The sequence below is a fragment of the Homo sapiens genome, chromosome 13 (genome assembly GCF_000001405.40).
Source record: "Homo sapiens chromosome 13, GRCh38.p14 Primary Assembly".
Taxonomy (NCBI): Eukaryota; Metazoa; Chordata; class Mammalia; order Primates; family Hominidae; genus Homo; species Homo sapiens.
The window spans coordinates 98963051-98983206 of record NC_000013.11 but is presented as its reverse complement, the minus strand read 5'-3'; the positions used below and the strand labels follow the sequence as shown (position 1 = coordinate 98983206).

The following is a 20156-nucleotide window of genomic DNA, read 5'->3' as shown; positions in this document are numbered from 1 at the left end:
AAAAGGAATGATAACTTTGGAGTATACACAAGTACATGTATATAAGTAATATAGGTGTACATATGTGTGTGTATGCATATTTTTCTTTTGCCTTTGTTATAAGTATCCTTCTGATATGCCAAGAACCCCTAATAAAGACAGTAAATAACTTCTGTTAGGTTGAGATAATTGATTTATTCCTCGTATTGTTATTCCTCAGATGGTTATTAGCTATGGTTAGCTACAGTATCTACAGTTTCAAAATTTATATAGATTTATTGCTAAAAACACGTTTATTTGTACATTTTAAAACTTTAGTTTTACTGTTTTCAAATACACTTCGTCTCAAAAAACGTCTAGCAAATTTTGCAGAATAAAATTTTCTTACCCGGGAGAAAGGAACATTTTTATTTTTAGTAGTAGTGAAAATTGTTGGGTTTTGATTTATGAATAAACTATTGTTGGGTTTTTATTTTCAAGCAATTGAAAGCTTCTGCCTTAATTTGGGCCCTTAACAAATGAAAATGTTTGCATATTTTTACAAATACACCATTTCACTTTAGGGCCAAAGATGACAAACCTGCTATCAGCATTCAGTTCAGCAAATACATCGTGAGTGCTTTTAGTCCCTAAGGCCACTCAAAGGTGGTTAAGATACAGTCCCTGCCCTCAGTGAATTAACAGTCTCACTAAAGGGTTCTTCTACCGGGGCAAACTTAATAAAAGGTAAACTCTGAAAAGCTCCATAATAGAGGTAAAAAGTAGGCTCAGAGGGTTAACTGAGAAGGAGCCAATTCATTCTGGCTGGAGGGGTTCTTGGGGAAGATGGTATTTAAACTGGGTCTTGGGCATGGGTAGCAGTTCCCTCTACAGAGAGAGTCACTCCTTCCACTAATCAGAGTGTGATGGAAGTCCATCTTATGGGTGGAAGAGGAAGATGGAGTTTTGCATTTAAAGTTAGCTTTCCTTTGAGTCACAAATTGCCCTTGGAACATTTCTTAAATTTCCTGTGAGGTTTTCATGGTTTTGAGTACCCGAGCTGTATAATAAATTTGTGTACATATTAAAATTTGAGACCTGAACCCCATTACAGAAGCATTCATTCCATCCTGCTTCTGAAGCCTTCCTCTTCCCCACAGGGTTTACAACATTTTTAACAGTGAAACTCTATACCTTTCATACGTGTTCATAGATATGTTTGTTGTGGGTTAAACAAGCTGGTGTGTGAAGGAACTCAAGGTTAGTAGATGGTAGGAGCTCAGTGCAGGTTTGTGAAAGTTGAATCGGGGGTCGGACATACACCTTGTTGTTTGAAATGTTGGAAAGGAAAATGTGGCCACCTACTTCCTGTCCTGGTAAAATGGCATTTCCTCTAGTGGCCACACCAACCGGATGTCATCCTCATGTCCTCACACATCAGTCTCATGAGCCCTTTGGAGAAACCACATCCCATTTGGAGGCTTGGGATCTGAGGTTAAACGCGGTGCCATGTGACTCTCCTTGACAGTCAGATTCCAAAAGTGTTGGTTTGTCCTAAGTGAGCAGGGGAGAGCGCCAGCACTGCCTGAGAAGTTGTGTGATGGGAAAGCTGACAGCAGTTTCTTCTCTCCTCCACGCCCTCAGGGTTTGCTTCTTTCATAAGGTGGGCCAGCTGGAAGGCGGTGGACTCAGATGACTGCCTTGCTCTCAGAATTGCTGTTCTCAATCTTGGATTTCAGTATATTGCTCTGAGATGGGAGTAGGAAATAGCTATGTGAATTTTGTCACTGCATTTCCTGCAAACACATTGCCAGCCTTGTATATTGCACATTGATGGTCCCCCTTTACATAAATCTGTGTGTGAGGCATTTAAAAAAATTTTTACTTGCTTGGGCCAGGCATGGTAGCTCACATCTATAATCCCCACACTTTGGGAGGCCAAGGTGGGAGGATCGCTTGAGCCCAGGAGTTTGAGACCAGCTTGGGCAACATGGTGAAATCCTGTCTTTACAGAAAATATAAAAATTAGCCAGGTGTGGTGGCATGTGCTTGTAGTCCCAGCTACTTGGGAGGCTGAGATGGGAGGATTGCATGAGCCCAGGAGGTGGAGGTTGCAGTAAGCTGAGATTGCACCACTGCACTCCAGTCTGGGCAGCAGAGCCAAACCCTGCCTTGAAAAAAAAAAAACAAAAAACAAATTACTTGCTTTACAACTTGATATATTTTCTCCTTTTGATGTTATATATTATGGAACTGATCATGTTTTCCTTTTTGTCCTGGCTACTTGGAAACTCAGAGCAAATTAAAAGTGTTTTCCTTGATCATAAAACAAAAATATAGTCATTGCTAACCATTTTGAAAAATATAGAAAAACTTCAAGAAGAAGGCCTGGCTCATGACATGAACATGTGGGGTTCAAAATGAATATTTGAAGGCAGCTGTCATAATCAAGCCACAGAGAGGGAAGAATGGTTGATGCTAAGTTGCTGAAGCGCTTTGTAATGTGTGATAGCAACACGGTTGGTGGAATTGTCATTTTAGATCACACAGCAAAAGCCCTGAGTTTAAGACTAAAATTAATTTCTTCAGGTTGGAATGAGAACAGCAACAATACAGTAGTTACCATCAAATGAATACCTGCTTTGCACAAGGCACTTAAAGGCTAAAGGCCATCTAAAGACCTTTTTACCTCTTCACTTCCATGATAGGGTTAAAGCCAGATGCTGCTGTCTTTAATTGCTGACTGGTGATTGGTATTGTGCCTTTTAGCAGTTTGAACATAGTATCATGGTTAAGCGTGTGTACACTGGATCCATATTGCCCCTGCTCTCTGTATAACGTTCTGCAAGTATTTAACGTCTCTGGGCATCAGTTTCCTCATCTGTCAAATGAGGATAACAGTATTACATAGAGTTATGAAGATTAAATAAACAATCTTTGTAGGGCTTGAACAGGCATGGGCCATAGCCAGCACTTACAGTGTTTGTCAAATAAATATCTTAAAGTTCATTTCTCATTCCTTACAGAATACCAGGGTATTTTGACCCAACAAATAGGGTAGGCTGAACACAGTGGCTCACACCTCTAGTTCCTGCTACTTGAGGGGCTTAGGCAGGAAGATCCTTGACTCCAGGAGGTCAAGACTGCAGTGAGCCATGATCGAGCCCCTGCACTCAGCCTGGACTACAGAGCAAGACCCTGTCTCAAACAACAACAATAACAAATAGAATAGCATTTCTCTTATTAATGCCCAGACATTCTGATGGCTTAATGGCGATGGGGATTTGAGGAAGAACTGGACTATTTAGAACTTCCTGAACCATCTCAAAAAGGTTTCTGAGTTGTTGGTTGGGCTGTCCTTTACTAAGGCTCAGTTAGTCTGTTTTGTGCTTGTGGCTTCATCCTTTCTTTGATTTGTAGGACATTCCTAAGTTTTTACTTTACTATAATTTCGACTCTATAGGTAAGTGAGAGTTTTTTCTTACTGGGTTTTTTCTGTTGTAACTTTACAAAGAAAGATTTTTAAAATTTATAGATAATATTATTTTGGAACACAGATTTGGTAGGGGGACTTCTATTAACCCTGAAAGACTACCCAAGGTTGAGAGATTGGGTAGTTTAAAAAAAATTATAGAAGCCATTAATTTATTTGATGGACTCATTGATCCTTTGAGATCGTTACATAATTGATATTCACACTCAGAAGGGTTCCTGGTGTTCAAGTGGCAGAGACCCAGCTTCAGCTTCACTCTTGAAGTAGAGCAGCTGCAGCAGGTGCTAGGAGAGGGAGGCGGCTGTGCGAGGACTGGGTGGCATCTCAGTTCTCCCCACTGCCTCCTCTGAGCCCTCCTGGCTGCGTTCCTTTGTCTGGAAAGTGGGAGACTTTTACCTGTGACTTGTATAATAGTTTATGTTATTTCCCTGGGTAGAGTTCCTCTGGCACCTATTGTTGCTACATGATAACTACTCTCGTTGTTGACTGACTGAATACTGCTGCTGCTGCTGCCGCCGCTGCTGCTACTACTACTACTACTACTACTACTACTACTACTACTACTACTACTACTATTGCTGCTGCTACTGCTGTTACTGCTACTGCTACGGCTGCTGCTGCTGCTGCTGCTTGTTGTCTACTGTTACTAAATCTTCCCTGATGTCCAGGAAATACTCAGAGTAACTAGGAAAAGCTCTGCGGTATCCATGAAGTACAGAGTAATATTTGATCCCCCCTTTAATGTTCATTTCTACATAACTTTTAGACAAATCCCTTAATACCTCTGTTTTAATTTTTCCCAAGAGGTAAAAAAGACTCCACTGTTAAATGTGAGGAAATAATAAAAATACAGACTTTTAGGAACACATATTTTGGGTGCTACTAAACCACCATTGAACCGTAGGTTGGTGATCCAGCTATTTTCCCGTGCTTTTGTGCATCTCTCTCTTAATTTTATTAATTTGTCATTTATGATGTCTGCTCTTCTTGCCTTCCCAGCTAGATGTGAAGTTCTTTGAAGGGAGAGATACTCTACCTTATACTTTTAGTATGATCCTCTCAGCACCTAGTACTGGGGGTACCTTCTGATACCCACACATCTGGACTTAAAGTAATATTCTGTTTAATAAATGCATTTACTATGATATGTGGTATCCCATGAAAATGTTTTGATGACCTCATCTTTCTGGCATCAAATAGTACATAAATTAAGTGTTTCATGCTGTGGTCTGTCATGCGGGGTGAAACTCATTTCCTCCACCTGTATCCACGAGGTGCAGGCTATGGGAACATACTTGCTGGTAGCTCTTCCCTGCTTTAATCATCAGCCAGGCATTTGGTTTTTAACCATAACACAAATGAAAGCATTCCAAAACTGGAAGAATTTTAGAACAAGCAGACAACCTTGCTGTCTCTTAAGCTCCACGAGCTTCAGATTTAAGGTAATTATGAAGGAGTCTAACTGTGACTGGTTTTCTTTTAAACACTGCAGTATTTTGATTCCGATTGATTTGGCCCACGCTGTGTGGAACAGACACAATAAAGCCGGTCTTTATCAGAGAGGCAGTACACTGTGTATTGTTCAGCTTGGAGTTTGTTTTCCTTTGGCCAGCAAGTAGGAGCCTCCCCTTTTGCATGGAGTAGTAACACCCCTGGAGGCTGGCCTTTGCTGTCATGCCTTCCCACCCCACAGGCTCTGCAGACCCAGCCAGCGGGGCTGACCACTTGTGCCTGGGAAGCCAGTTTCCTTTCCTTCCTTGGACCACTGGCATGCCTGTGCCTTGCACGGCCAGGGACTCGCAGCTGTTCCAGTTGCAGACTTTCTGACTTGCGTTTTCAGCCGAGAATGCAGGCTGATAAATGCAGGACAAGTAGTAGAAGTGTCAAAAAGGAACTGGTGATTGAGTCCCCCCTGCAATACAAGGATGCAGCTCAGGGCGAAGTGGAAGCAGAGAGCCCGGGCCCTGTGCCGGTAAGAGGGTCTCGTACAAAGTGTTGCTGTGTCTACCCAATGCTGGGTTCTTATTGTGCGTGTGGACGGGGTTGACGCCTGTTGCCTGTCTTTGATTTCAAAACTTGCTCTGCTTGTCCCTTGTGAACTCCACTCTTTCCCTGTAATATGACTTCGATTCCCCTTTGATTCTTCTTTGTGAAGAAAGAAATGTTGACATTTTGTGGGTGAATATGGTTTCTGGGAGGTTTCTTTGTATGGGACAATTATGTATTGTTCACAATTATGTCCCACCTAGCTGCAGTGTTTGCAAATGTAAACCCAGGAAGCATATTTTAATTGCAACTATAGGGTTGAAAAAAGATGTGCTTTGCAAAATTAAAACCTTTTCTACGTTATTTATGCTATTGAGAAAATGAGGCAGGTCCCATTGGGGGTTTTAAGGAACATAACTGTTGGAAATATTACATAGTTTAGAAAGGATAAAATCACATATGTTCTTCTCACTCATTTTACCAGGAGGTTTGCCTTGAATAAAGTAGGGAAGAACCTAAACTGTGAACCAGCTGATAGAAACGTTTCTGTTCTTAACATCAGCTAAACTCTCAGCATTTGTCTAAAGCCAAGTGCTTTGGTGGACTTTGGAGGGGAGGAATGTGAAAAATGGTTGTGTTGTTATCATCAGTGAGTAGGTTGTGCTTCTCTCGGAATTTCTTCAGTACAATAAAGGCACATAATTTTTTAAGCAAGCTGCACAAAACCACCAACATGCCCTGCAGAGGGGGGACAATTGAGCCTTTCAAATTATCTGCTAAAGAGATTGTTAAACTGATATGTAGTGATTTTATTTAGTGATTTTTTTTTTTCTTTAACGTGGAGGTTCAGTTGATGTTACCATGAAGTGTTTGCTTACTAATTTACTTAATTTTCAATTAATGTCTAAGAATCTGAACTTAAACTTTCCTATAACAGATTTGATTTGAACTGAGTTGCTTTCTTTGTGACTCGTGAGACTGCCCTATATTTTATTGCCTTCAAAACTATATTGCTAACCCTGAACTGAAAAGTTAGTAAAATATCATGGTCTTTTTCACTGCAGATTTTCATCTTAGAGATTTAGGTTTCTTTTCTTCACCCTCTGCTACATTGTTTAGAAATGTAATTCATTGTTCTGGATTCCTTGCTGCCAATATAATAGCCCACTTCTCTGTTGGGTTGCTCACAGGCTGTATGGATTTCACTGCTTAAAGCAGCTGATGTAACTTAGGATTTCTTGGAGGAAGTTGTGTGGTTTAGGTTCCCTTGTGAATATTCTTAAAAATCTTCTGTCAGTGATTCTCCAGCTGTGTAGAAATATTTGTCTACAGGACTGAATACACTGTAGAAAGATGCTATGCAATTTTTTTTTTTTAAGCACACAAGTGACTTCTTAAACTTACTTCTCTTTCTAGTGCTCAAGAAATTTGCCATTTATGTCCTAGCTATTTGTTTAGGTAAATCTCACTCCAGGCAGTTCCTCTGGGGGTCTTTTTCCACTGCAATGGATAAAGCTGTGCTGGCTACAGCTGCATTTGGTGGGAACACTTGTCAGGGCCCAGCAGCTTGTGGCAGTGTGATCTCAGCTCTGCGCACCTGCAGAGAGGGGTGAGGGAGTGAGGAAGCCAACAGTGATACCAGAAGTTTTTTCTTATCGGGCAGTGTTTCTCTTCTTCCAGCAGGGTAAACAAGATAAGAAGAGCTAATGTCAGATCAGGGAAGCAAGGATATTTCAGCAGGGCCTTTGCCGAGGGCAGATCTCTTACCTGTGGCTGTTGCTGCCCACTGGCAAACAAGAGTTCAACAGACTGCTGGAAAGGCAACTTGTTTCTCAAGATGATTTTTCAGAAGGAGGCAGACACCATTGTGCAACCTGTTTGTGGCAGTACTATTCATTGTTCGAATGTCAGTGGCCCACGGGCTTGGTAAGAATCCCCAAGACTGTCTATCATTTGAATGCATTATACCTAGAGACGTTTAAATGTAGGTAACATGCTTTATTCAGGAGGTAGCATTTTGAAATAAAGTTTTGCTGTTTTTAGTTATGTACAGAAACAGTCCTTGGGGAAAAATATTACATAAATTAAAACGGATAAAATTAATTAATGCGTGTAGTATAGAAGTAGGAAAAACAAGAAATGCAAATAGTGTAGCAGTAGGAAAGACAGTGTCCTTGTTTTTACTCTCCAGTGGTGACCATTATTAATAATTCAGTGTATATACTTCCAGACTTTCTCCTGTGCCTAGAACAGTATAACTTGTGTGTGTGTGTGTGTGTGTGTGTGTGTGTGTGTGTATGTGTTTAGAGAATATACTATTATGGTAGATTTCTGGATTGATTTTCTCCCAGAACACGTCAGTAACATCTTTTGTCACCATATGTGGATTTATGCCTTTTTTTTTTTTTGAGACAAAGTCTTACTCTGTCATCCAGGTTGCAGTGCAGTGGTACGATCTCGGCCCACTGCAACCTCCGTCTCCTGGGTTCAAGCCTCCCGAGTAGCTAAGATTATAGGTGCCCGCCACCATGCCCAGCTAATTTTTGTATTTTTAGTAGGGACAGGGTTTCATCATGTTGGTCAGGCCAGTCTTGAACTCCTGACCTCAGGAGATCCGCCCGCCTCGGCTTCCCAAAGTGTGATTACAGGCGTGAGCCACTGCACCTGGCCTATGCCATTATTTTAATGGCTGCATATTATCTCATTTTAGGTCTGTACTATAATTGGATCGTTATTTAATTTGTTTCTAATTGTTTGCATTAGTAATGAGGCTACCATAAATGTACCTGTAAGTAGATCTTAAAGCATGTAGGCAAGCCAGTATTTGTTCTAGAAACTTTCTATCATAAGTTCCCTCCTGCCCTTATGATTGGTGGTAATGTTTTTTCTCCTCTGCCAGGGCCGCTTTGAAGGTTTCCCTTAGCAGTGGCTGCTTGTTCAGTGTTAGGGAAAGTTAGTATTTCTTTTTCTTTCTTTTTTTGGAGGTGGAGTTGTTCTTTTTTTTTTTTTTTTTTTTTTTTTGAGACAGAGTTGCTCTTGTTGCCCAGGCTGGAGTACAATGGCATGATCTCGGCTCACTGTAACCTCCGCCTCCTGAGTTCAAGCGATTCTCCTGTCTCAGCCTCCTGCGTAGCTGTAATTACAGGCGCATGCCACCATGCCCGACTAATTTTTGTATTTTTAGTAGAGACGTGGTGTCATCATATTGGTCAGGCTGGTTTCGAACTCCTGACCCCAGGTGATCCACCTGCTTTGGCCTCCCAAAGTGCTGGGATTACAGGTGTGAGCCACTGCGACCGGCTAAAAGTTAGTGTTTCCAAGAGAATATGTGTTTGGACATTATAAAGTTTCAGAGGCTGCAAGGTTCAACTTACAGGCACCTACATGGGTGGGTCTTGTCCCCTGCATTGTGACAGTAAGTGAGGGAGGAAGCACATGGTGAAACTTCCCCATTTCTATCCAGGCTTACTGCCAACCCCACTGAGAAATGGCTTTGGGGGCTAGAAATCACTACCAGGGGAACAGGCAGGATATTCTTGATGTCTGCATGTTAGTTTCCCTGCTCACATTTGAATACCTATTTTTACCCCCTACCCGCCACCCCCCTTCAAAACTCTAACGTAATTCCTGGAAACAATTTATTCTAATTGTTACTGCTCAACAGTTTAGAGGAAAAAGGTGTGGCTTCAAAGTGCCAAAAAAGGCTGGGTTATATGCCATTTATGCAGCCCTTTCATTGGGTTCCTTTTGTGAGGCTGGTAGGGACTGCAGCACAGGTCTTATTTTGGGAATTTTTAAGGTTGAAGGATGTGAAGATTGAGAAGAGCTGAATTTTCCTATTAGGTGTACTCATAAGGTATTTTTTGAAAAGGATCAGCGGGCACTGTGGCTCAAGTCTGTAATCCCAGCAGTTTAGGAGGCCAAGGTGGGCATTGCTTGATCTCAGGAGTTCAAAACCAGTTTGGGCAACATGGCGAAACTCCGTCTCTACAAAAAATACAAAAATTAGCCAGACGAGGTGGCATGCACCTATAGTCCCAGCTTCTCGAGAGGCTGAGGTGGGAGGATTGCTTGAGCCTGGGAGAGTTGAGGCTGCAGTGAGCAGAGATCACGCCACTGGACTCCAGGCTGGGTGACAGAGTAAGACCTTGTCTCAAAGAAAATAAAAGTTTCTTTTCAGAGACACCTTTTGGGTGGCTCATATTTTCCTGGGATCCTCAAGTGTTAAAAGCAGAATTTTAGTTCTTATTTTAATGTTTGAATGACCACGTGATTACTCTAGCTAAATAACTCTGTGAGAAGGCAGTGCGAGTACTTGATGTAGAAAGTAGTAGTAGGACTTGGCTTCTGGTTGGACACACCAGTACCTTATCTGGGAACTCTTCTGTCTCTCAGACAGAGGAGGAATGAGACTAGAAAATCTTTCCTATCCCTGAAGTTCTGTTTGCTCTAGAAATAGCAGACTAAGTGAGGTATAAGCTTATGGGCAATGATCATGTTGTTAATTTTCAATTAGACTTTAGGTGACTGTGATTGAGTTAATTAAATTATGCTTAGACAATAGCCTTTCTGCCCTATAGGTTTTCCTGCACCCTTAGAGACAACTTTAGAAAAAGATAATGATATTACATCAATAATATTTAATAAGTAGTTTCCTTGTTTTTAAAATATTGGATGGTGAAAGAAAGATGTTCCCAAAAGCTTTATATAGTGACCTATTCCTAGTGACAAGAACAGGAAATTTTATTTATTCAAAGCCATACACCTTCACTACAATGCTCTTTGTGTTTCATTTGTTTATTCATTAATTCAGTCAACCCACATTTACAAGAATGGAGACTTGCCAATCTTATTGGACAGTGCATTGAGGCAAATAAGATCAAAACCCTCCCTCTCCCCAGGCAGCAAGGCATGAGGAAGGAAGGGGTTCATTCCTCTGGAATGCTTTCATGTGATCTTTATCAGGCACAGTGAGTGTTAATGCCGCCCTGTCCTTTCTAGACACTTAGGCAGACAACACTTAAACCATCAGCAGCTCCAGGAAGGACGTGCTTCAGATTTTTTAGCAGCTAACATAGGCATAGCCAGGCTTTGCAGAAGGCGCAGGCCGAACCCCTAACTGTTCATGTGATCAGTGTTACATGAGGCTCCTGCTGCTGCACACCTATTTTGTGGAGCGGTCGGTGGAAGGAATCTTTGGGGAGTGCATGCTTAGATAGGGTCCGAGTGAATCTAATTACCATGCCAGGCCTGGAAAATGATCTCAGACATGGGGCTTCAGCAGTTTGTTCCCTACCTCATTGCCATGCCAAGTCACTGCTACCTCCTGGGTAGCAGTGTATAGAAACTAAAATCGCTTGTATAGAAAACTAAAAACTAAAATCCACCCAGCTCCGGCATTTATTTTCTCATGATCTGCCATCAGCATGGAGGGAGAATGGCTGGTGACTGTTTTTTTATAGCAAGGTAATGCCAATAGTCATGTAATAATAAAAATAGCCACTACTTATATGGTTCCCTGCTCTGTGCCAGGAACTGTTTTATGCCTGCTAAATGTTATTTCAATTAATCCTCACAACTCTAGGAGGCAGGCTCTATTCTTTTTCAGACGAGGAAACTGAGCACAGTTTCCTCTTGCTCAAAGTTACACATTCAATAAGTGGCAGAGCCAGGATTGTAGACTTTGGGTCAGGTTTTCTAAAATCCATACCTGGACACATATGCACGATTCATGAACAAAAATGAACGTATTCACTTGAGCTTAGCATTGAGACTGTAACAATAAACAAGAAAGGAAAAACACACTGCTCTTAAAAACTTGAAAATTGTTAGAGAAAGGCCAGTTTATAAGTGATAACCAACAGTGGTTGAATAGCATGAAGACAATGGTGGTCATGTGAAGAACTAAGAAATATGAATGAAATAGAGCTGCCGTCAGGAGTCACTCTTATCTTGGGTGTTACATTTTATCATCTTCCCAGAAAGTTACATAGGAGCATAGACTGGTGAGAGTCTAAGAATCTGCAGGCATCCCGTTTTCCTCCCTATTTTCCTTTCTTTTTGAGATGGAGTCTCGCTCTGTCACCCAGGCTGGAGTGCAGTGGTGCGATCTCGGTTCACTGCAAGGTCCGCCTTCCGGGTTCATGCCATTCTCCTGCCTCAGCCTCCCAAGTAGCTGGGACTACAAGCACCCACCACAACACCCGGCTAGTTTTTTGTATTTTTTAGTAGAGATGGGGTTTCACCGTGTTAGCCAGGATGGTCTCGATGTCCTGATTTCGTGATCCGCCCACCTTGGCCTCCCAAAGTGCTGGGACTACAGGCGTGAGCCACCGCGCCCGGCCCCTATTTTCCTTTTTAAAAAATTTATAGATGATCCAGGTTAATCCTGAAATGTTTATTCCCTAATTAGTAAAATGGGCACTGTGGTCCCCATAGTGTTTACAGAGGCTGCCATTTGTGCAGGTGTGCTCTACTCTTGGAAAGGTAGCAGCTAAACACGAGGCTGCAGAACAATGTCCAGCTGGCTGGTGGCACGGGTGGGCCAAGAGACCAGGGACCTAATTTTGATCCTGCATCTGCCTCTCAATCTCTGCAGATCACCACCCTCCTGGGCTTCAGTTTTCTTACCTGTAAAATGAGGAGCCTGTCGTACATAATCTCTAAGGTCTGGGACTCAAGCTCTAGTGTTAGCATCTTTGATCTCAGAATAACCTGGGATGGAGTCAGGTTTAGGATTGTGGAGTTTTAGTTTCAGGTTTTAAGCTTTGTTTATTCAAAATTGTTTGGGTTTTGAGTTGTTGGAGCTACAGAATGGGATCTTGGAATTCCACCCAGTGTAAGAAGTAAGACCAAGGGAATGGGTTGGCCACCTGGAAATGAATCAAAAATTTGGAGTTAGCAGGGCATTCTAGGCAGGAGATAACAAGACAGCCTAGCTCCAGCCTACAGATAGCATATGACTGTGAGGATACTTTTAGAACCAAGAAGGATTGGAAATTATAGTTTTCCCCCAACTTTCCAGAAGTTTGAAATACCCTGTAATGTGATATACTAGTGCTAAGTCTCTTTTAGAATGACATTTTGAGGCTTTGGAAATTTTCAGCGTTCCCTTTCCTGACAAATGTAAGTGCCACTTACCAGTGGGTCTCAAGGGCTCTGCCAGGTTCCCGGGGAGGAGCCAGTCTCGTATTCTGCTTTGGGATTTCCTTAATATGGAGAGTTGTCACTGCCAAGGGAAAGGCAGCAGCAAGCGATGCAGAGAGCCAGCACTCACTCACAGGAGGCTCACTTGGCACTTCTAAGCCAGGACTGCATTGCATATCAGACAGAGGTAGTAGCAGTGGCTGCCCTCCAGATCCCCCATCTCTGAAGGTTCTCTGGACTGCCTGTTCCACTACCACGTTCTGTCTTTTCTTACACTGAGCCATGCTGCATTGTGCTATCAGACCACTCTTTCTAAAACAGAGACGGGTGGGGCGTGGTAGCTCAGGCCTGTCATCCCGGTACTTTGTGAGGCTGAGGTGAGAGAATTGCTTAAGGCCAGGAGTTTGAGACCAGCCTGGGCAACATAGCAAGACCCTGTCTTTACACAAATAAAAAATAAAAAAATTAACCCAGCTTGGGGCAGACCTGTAGTCCTAGCTATTTGGGAAGATGAGGCGGGAAGATTGCTTGAGCCCAGGAATTCAAGGTTACAGTGAGCTATGGTGGAGCTACTGCACTCCAGCCTGGGCAACAGAGTGAAACTCTGTCTCAAAAGCAAAACACAAAACAACACAGCCAACAGATATAGTTGTTAATTATCTGCTTAAAAGTCTTCTCTGACTCTTCCTTTGCAGAGAACGCAAAGCATAGCTTCCTTGATTCACAAAGGCTGACCCTGAATTTGCCTGCTGACCTCATCTCCTGCAGCCTCCAAAATGTGCCCTGACCCCAGCTTTCCAGTCTTCCTTCCACCTGGGGTGCTTTCACACCTGGGCACAGCTCTGCCTTTGCCTGGCATGCACTGCCCTGGTTAAAAGGATAAAATCATCATTTTATGCTTCAAGCCCCAGTTCACATGCCAGCTTCTTTGGGAAACCCTTGCAAACCCTCTCCCCACATTTCCCAGTAGACTGTGTGCTCCTGTAGCCCATCATGGCGTCGTTGTTCCAGCTTGTTGTCAGGCATCCCGCTTTATTGTAGTGAAGGTTTATACTCCAGTCTCCCTCACTAACGGGGCTTCTGCCCAACAAGAACCACCCGAGTGGTTTTGTTTTCTTTGTATTCGATGTCTGATATAATGTCAAAGCTCTTTTTTTTTTCTTTCTCCCGCTTCTCAGCATGGTCCTGGTGACTCTTTGGGGAATGTATAGGCAAAAAAAGGTTGCGAAAGGGCCTGCAGGAAAGACTAGATCTGAAAATCATTCACGTTTTCATTTGCCTCCCTTCCACCTGCAAAGGTTTAGCCATCAATATCCAAATGTCTTGAATTGCCAAAAAGTAGAAAGGGATGCAAGTAGAGGAACATGCTGGACTTACATGGGACGTGGCTATTGTGCCCCTTTACTCTCCTGTGCATCTGTGATTTTGATCTCTATTAAAATGTTGGTGAACATTTTATCAGAGTACTTTTGTGTACAGAAGTGCAGACATAGGTTCCCAGAGTCAAACCCCTTCCTGTTCCTCTCTTAGCCAGCACCCCTTTCTGTTATCAGTACCTCTTCTTCCTGGCAGCCGTACCTGAAACCCTAACATCATATTTGATGGTCATAGTACACTTGGAAAAATCACCATGTGACATTGTCACAACAGCTTCTCAGTAAATTGATTATATCTGGAAAGGGTGGAGATCCACAAGATACAGGCAGAGAAGATGGCTCTTCCAGGGAGAAAGAGTTCAGAAAGGAGGGGCCTATTGGAGACACTGGAGAATGTGGTCTGCTGCTTTATAGAACCAAGACTAGACCTAACTTTTATCTCTGATGTGGTATGCTTTTCCAAACTATTGTCTGCCCAAGTAAAAATTTCAGGAAGTGGACTGTCCTTTGTTTTGCCATGAAGTTTAAAAAATTACCTGTATATTAAAATTTCTTACAGTCTATAATAGTGCTATCTAATAGAAATATAACATGAGCCATACATATAATTTCTGCTCTGTTATTTTTTGAGACAGAGTCTTGCTCTGTCACCCAGGCTGCAGTGCAGTGGAGTGATCTCGGCTCACTGCAACCCCCGCCTCCAGGGTGCAAGCAATTCTCGTGCCTCAGCCTCCTAAGTAGCTGAGATTACAGGTGTGCACCACCACATCTGGCTGGTTTTTGTATTTTTAGTAGAGACGGGGTGAACCATGTTGGCCAGTCTGGTCTCGAACTCTTGGCCTCAAGTGATACCCCTGCCTCAGCTTCCCAAAGTGCTGGGATTACATGCATGAGCCACCACGCCTGGTCAAATTTAAAATTTTCTAGTAGCCAAGTTAAAGTAAAAAGAAAAAGGTGTAACTAATTTTAGTAATATAATTTTAACCCAGTATTTCCAAAATATTACCATTTCAATTTTAAATTCTTATTTAAAAAAAAGGTATTTTATATTTCATTCGTAAGATGTCATTGACATTTGGTGTCTGTTTTATGCCTACAGCACATCTGAATTTAGAATCGTCACATTTTAAGTGCTCAGTAGTCACCTGTGGCTAGTAGCTACCACACCGATCAGTGCAGGTTTATACTTACACATTCTTTAGCTTAAAAGCCTCAAACTAAAAAGCTGTCATTTTGGGGGCGAGTCACTGGATGAGGAAAAATATTTGTGATTTTTTTTTTCTGTAGGAAAAAAATGCATGATTTAAATGTGAGTTTTCCTTACAAAGGTCATGCCTTGAAATATTTGATGGTATTATAAATTACATACTACTTAATGGCATTAATATGTGTGAAGACATTTAAACCTGGTTCTTTGGAAAGATTTAGTATTTTGGAGTAGGATTTTTAATATTTTTGAAGTGGAAAATGATTATTTTCCTGGAAGGGACTCTGCTTTTTATCTCTGCTGTAGTGAGATTGTAAAGCCTGGTTAGTTCAGTGCCTGGCAGATCTCAGAGTGGGGAGAATTCCCTCCTCCCTGGCGACGTGGAGCCTGAAGCATCCTCGTGTGGAGCAATGTTCAGCATTTCTCATATAAAGAGGAACAGAGGCATTGGAGAGGCACTTCTGGTTCTAGAAATCTGAAATACCATCATGCGTACTGTTCATGTGTGATGGGGAAGGTCCTGGTCTTGGGGCCAGGAGACCCAAGGATCAACCCATCTGTGTGACCTTCAGTAAACCATCTAATTCTCTAAGTGTCAGTTTCCTCATCAGTGAAATGGTGATGATGCAACCATATAGTTGTGGGGAGGTTTAATGAGACAATATGCGTGTAATCCAGCAAGGTGTGTATGTTGTAGGGGCTAAAATTCTATTGAATGTGAACTACACATAACTATGTGTGGTCCCCACCACCACCATTTGGTGCATTCGTGCACTGTCCAGGCACTGTATGTAGAACCCTGGCAATAACCTGGTGATAATGATAACAGAAATTGTTACTTTTCCCATCTTTAGATTAAAGTATGGAGATTAAAAGGTTAAATAAGCAACTTGTCCAAAGGTGACATAGCCAATAGGCAGTGAAGCCAGGATTTTTTGAGAATACGTTTTAATATGAAATTCTCAAACATACACGAAAGTAGATGGACTAGTAGAGTGGTTATCAAACATGAATGGGCACCAGAATCGTCTGAAGGGCTTGTTAACACAGACTGTGAGGCCCCAACCTCAGAGCTTCTCACTCCGTGGGCCTGGGGTGAATGTGTATTTCTAACATGTTTCAGGTGATGCTGATGCTAGCCCAGGACCAAACTTAGAGAACCATTGTACTGATGTAATGAACTCCCATATACCTGTCACCACCTCTGGCAGTAGTTCACATTTTTGGGACTAGGATTTAAACTCTAACTCCCAACACCTGCCCTTTACTGGTCTCTATACTGCCTGCCTGGCAGTGGAGTCTGCAGAAACTGTTTTGTGAACTATGTGTTATGAATATTCCATTCCCTATCCCCAATATCTTAAAATAAGTAGCTTAAAGTACATTGTTTTGAAATCTGACTAAATCTGGCTTTTAGAGCCTTTTAGCTTCATTACTTGCCCTCTTCATTTCAGAGTTCCAAAATTGTTTTTACTGACCTAGGAAGAATTAACAATTTTAGGTCATAATGCTAAAAAAGGAAGAAAAATGCCTGGAAGAGTCTACAGTCTAGATTTGAGATAGAATTATTTATACAACTGTAATAGCACATCTTTTTCTTTTTTGATTTTATTTCTTTCCACATGTGAAAAAATAGGCAGAATTAGAAGCCGAGACTACTGTATGTGTGTGAGAGACACATGCTGGGCCCACTGCAGGCGCTCTACCTGGTTCTCGCTGTGTTCCCCTTTTACCCTTCCTGGCCTGGTGTTGGCCCATGGCCGGTATCAGGGTAGGGAGAAGACACATGAAGCACTGCACTTGCAAGGGAGCTGCTCCCGTTCCACCTAGCTCTCTCCTCATGTGACTCCCCGGGCACAGGACATGGAGGAAGTCTCCTAAATTCCCGTCTTGTCTTCCTCTCCTCATTGACATTCTCAGCAGCATCCCCAGCGAGCACAGCTGACGACGGCAGGCGAGGAGTTGTGTAGGTTTTCCTTAATTGGTATTATTATTCCTGTCTTTATTATTATTTCCATTTCCATTATCATGTTCCTCTTACCTATTTCAGGTGCTATTGATTTGACAAAATCAGATTTTGTCAGATTTGTCAAATCTGTATAACTGCTGTATAAAAAGGAAATTCAACATCGTGTTAGTGTTTATAATATAAAAAACTGCATTCACAAATGTCTAATTGTTGGTGTTAGTCTGTTCTTAGGATAACACCACACTGGAGCATGAAAAATATATTTAGATGTCTGGGAGTTTGGTGTTTCTTATGCATTCTTCCAAATATTCTCCAAAGCATTAACTGCTGTAGTTTAACACTCAGGTTTGAGCTTATTTCTAAATCTAAGTTTAGGTAAGTTTTCCTTTTTCCTCTAGTATTTAGATTACATGTGTATGCACATTGTCAATGAAAGTGCAAAATTAAAATGTAGGCATCGTTTTAGTACGGGCTGAGACAAGATCCTGGGCCAGGGCTCAGGAGGTTCCTCCTGGGACCCCAGGGCAGTCCCTAGGGTTGGGTTTCCCAATGTGTAAAATGAGAAGACTGGACTGGATAATCACAGGTTCTGATGTTTGCACAAGCTTGTAGTGCTAAATAAAAGCTTTTAAGCTGTATTACTGAATCTGTAGTACCTTTTAAAAAGCATGCTTCCAAACAGCTTCTAGATCATTGTCCCTACAGACACTCAGGAGCAGTCTGGAGAAGAACATATACTACTGAATGAGAGTGGGATTCTATCTTGATTTTCACCATCTACTAGTTGTAATGTCCTGAGTTAGGGACAGAAGAGCATGTCTGTGACAAGCTGATGGAGGGCTTCTTTCTTCCACTGGAGGATGGCGTGGGACCTTCCTGTGTGTCTCTCCACCCCTCCTCCTGTTTGTGGCCTTCCTGAGGGCCCTTCTTACTGTGGCCCTACCTGCCACTCCGGCCTCATCTCTCCCTGCAGGCTATAGTCCAGGGGTGGCTTTGGCACATGTAGGCACCCCAGGTGAGCTAATCATTGGTACCCCCTCAAATGAACACTATTCCAATATTTGCTTACTTCAGAGGAGAGACTGAGGGCTGTATGGGTGAAGGTGGAGCAGGGGGCTCTTGTGAGGAGTGTTGCTCTCTGACTCCAGTGTTATCCATCCTTGCAGAGGAAGCAGGATGGGAGGGCACTGGCCCATCCGGTGCTCCTCAAGCACGTCCATCTGGGAGGCCTGCTGCTCACCTCAGGTAGCAGCTGTGTGGAGTCTCTTTTTCAGAAGGGCTTTCTCCTAAGTATAGTTTTCCCCATCACCTTGGATTTCCAATGGTGCTAGAGCACCTGTGGAGCCTGGGACCCCAAGCCCCCTTTATGCAGCCTTATCCAGCTATTCTGAACTCCTGGCTGCTTCCAGAACTCACCATGCTCAGGGAGAATTTAGCATGAAGCTCATGAAGCTTAAGTTTCAGGATCCCTTTCAAGGCACTGGAAGAGATTCCAGCAATTTTATATCTATTAGTTTGTATTTTTTGACCTCACTGTAATTGTGCATGTTTCAGGCCTTACAAAATCTACTTCCATCCATGCACATGCTCCCTGGTGTCTCAATTTTCTCTGCAGGGAATCCTCAATCTGCCCTGAATCCTGGCTGGCTTGTTCAACTCATTGATCAGCTCCAGGAACCTCCTTTAAGAAGCACCCCACATAATTGGGGTCCCTCACTCATCCAACACACAGTTATTGAGTGCTTCTGCTATGCTGGGTGCTGTTCTAGGTGCTGGAGAAAGCAGCAAATACAATAGGGCTGTCTTGCCCTCATGGAGCTTATAATCTAGCTGGGCAAAGGTTGGGTTCCTTCTAGTGGGCCAGATGCCACTCCTGGTCCCTGCTGCTGTCATTCATTCTGCTGATTGTTCACACATGTGCCTTCCCTCTGACTGCCAGCTCCCTGGGGCAGGGCCGTGTTCTTTTTATCTTGATGTCTCTGGCACAGTGCATGTGAACCAGCTCAGTAAATACCTGTGGAGAGAGGGAACTCATACTGCTAATCACATGTGTACACAAGGAAGGGAGGCCGCTGTTATTTTCCTGTGCCCACCCTACTTATAGGAAAATGAGGATCCTTCCTGCAAACTTGACAACTTCAAGAAATTCCTGGTGGGGCTACGTAGCGAGAGTCACGTGCATGATAGGAGTGCAGGAAGGCTTGTGTGTCCCACACTTGTGAGCACGTGGCTTCAGAAGCCCCTTTTTGTTGCAAGCTGCCATCTCCTTTTTCCTATCCCCAGCAACAGTACTGGTGTCCTGTTGGCAACATTGAGAAGCGCTTTGAAAGTGGACCAACTTTATCTCAGCCTATCAAGTAGCTTTTATAGCCATGCAGATAAATCAAGGAAGTCCTAAATTCTTTATAAGCAGAAATGACGAATTTCTCATTTCTTAAAATAGCTCCAAGAGTTGCCATTTAGTTTGCTATTTCAAGAAGTGGCATTTGGGATTTCAGCTCTTCTTAACATTTAATCACCAGAGACACAAGGGCAAGAAATGACTGGAAAGTTCATTTGAAGCTATCACATCCGAGGCAAGAGCAGTGAAATTACTGTGCTCTTTGGAGCTTAGCTCTTCCCATGGTTTTCGAGGTTTTGTACATGTTTGGCCAGAACTGAACTCAGTTTGTGGGCGAACATTGTGCAGGTCTGCTGGATCCAGAGGAATCTCATTTTCCTGGCACTAAGAACATTTCCTGCTTCTGATTGCCTTTTGATCTGGAATTTCAATTTGCATGATGTTGGGCCGCCAGACCCTAAGCAGCAAATGCTGTGGGAGGGAGGGAGTTCCAAGAGATTGAAGGGTGGGGGGATCATGGTGGGGCCTTTTGGGGTCCTGCTTTCTGGCCCCCATGGGAGGTGTAGGGAAGTGTGATTGCTAGAGGCGCGCCATGCTGCCCGCTGCCATGCTCAGTAGATGGGGACTGGCGGGGCCTCGGTATCAGTGGCTCACCTGTGTCCATGTTGTCCCTTGAGATG

At 42.9% G+C, this 20156-nt stretch overlaps 1 protein-coding gene across 43 annotated transcripts in view; it reads left to right on the top strand.

Moving 5' to 3' along the window:
* Window positions 1-20156, top strand: part of DOCK9 (dedicator of cytokinesis 9) — a 295191-nt gene that overhangs the window by 105413 nt on the left and 169622 nt on the right. For 14 of the 43 annotated variants that reach the window (NM_001366680.2, NM_001366679.2, XM_047430237.1 and 11 more), the window contains exon 1: window positions 5143-5423. The exons of 17 other annotated variants lie outside the window; for them this stretch is intronic. In NM_001366680.2, the coding sequence (NP_001353609.1) occupies window positions 5298-5423 (126 nt within the window). In that variant the 5' untranslated portion in view covers window positions 5143-5297. Of the gene's footprint in view, window positions 1-4719; window positions 4894-5142; window positions 5424-7098; window positions 7364-20156 lie in introns of those variants that run through there. 12 more of the 43 variants (XM_017020513.2, XM_017020510.2, XM_017020508.2 and 9 more) reach the window with 2 other exon arrangements.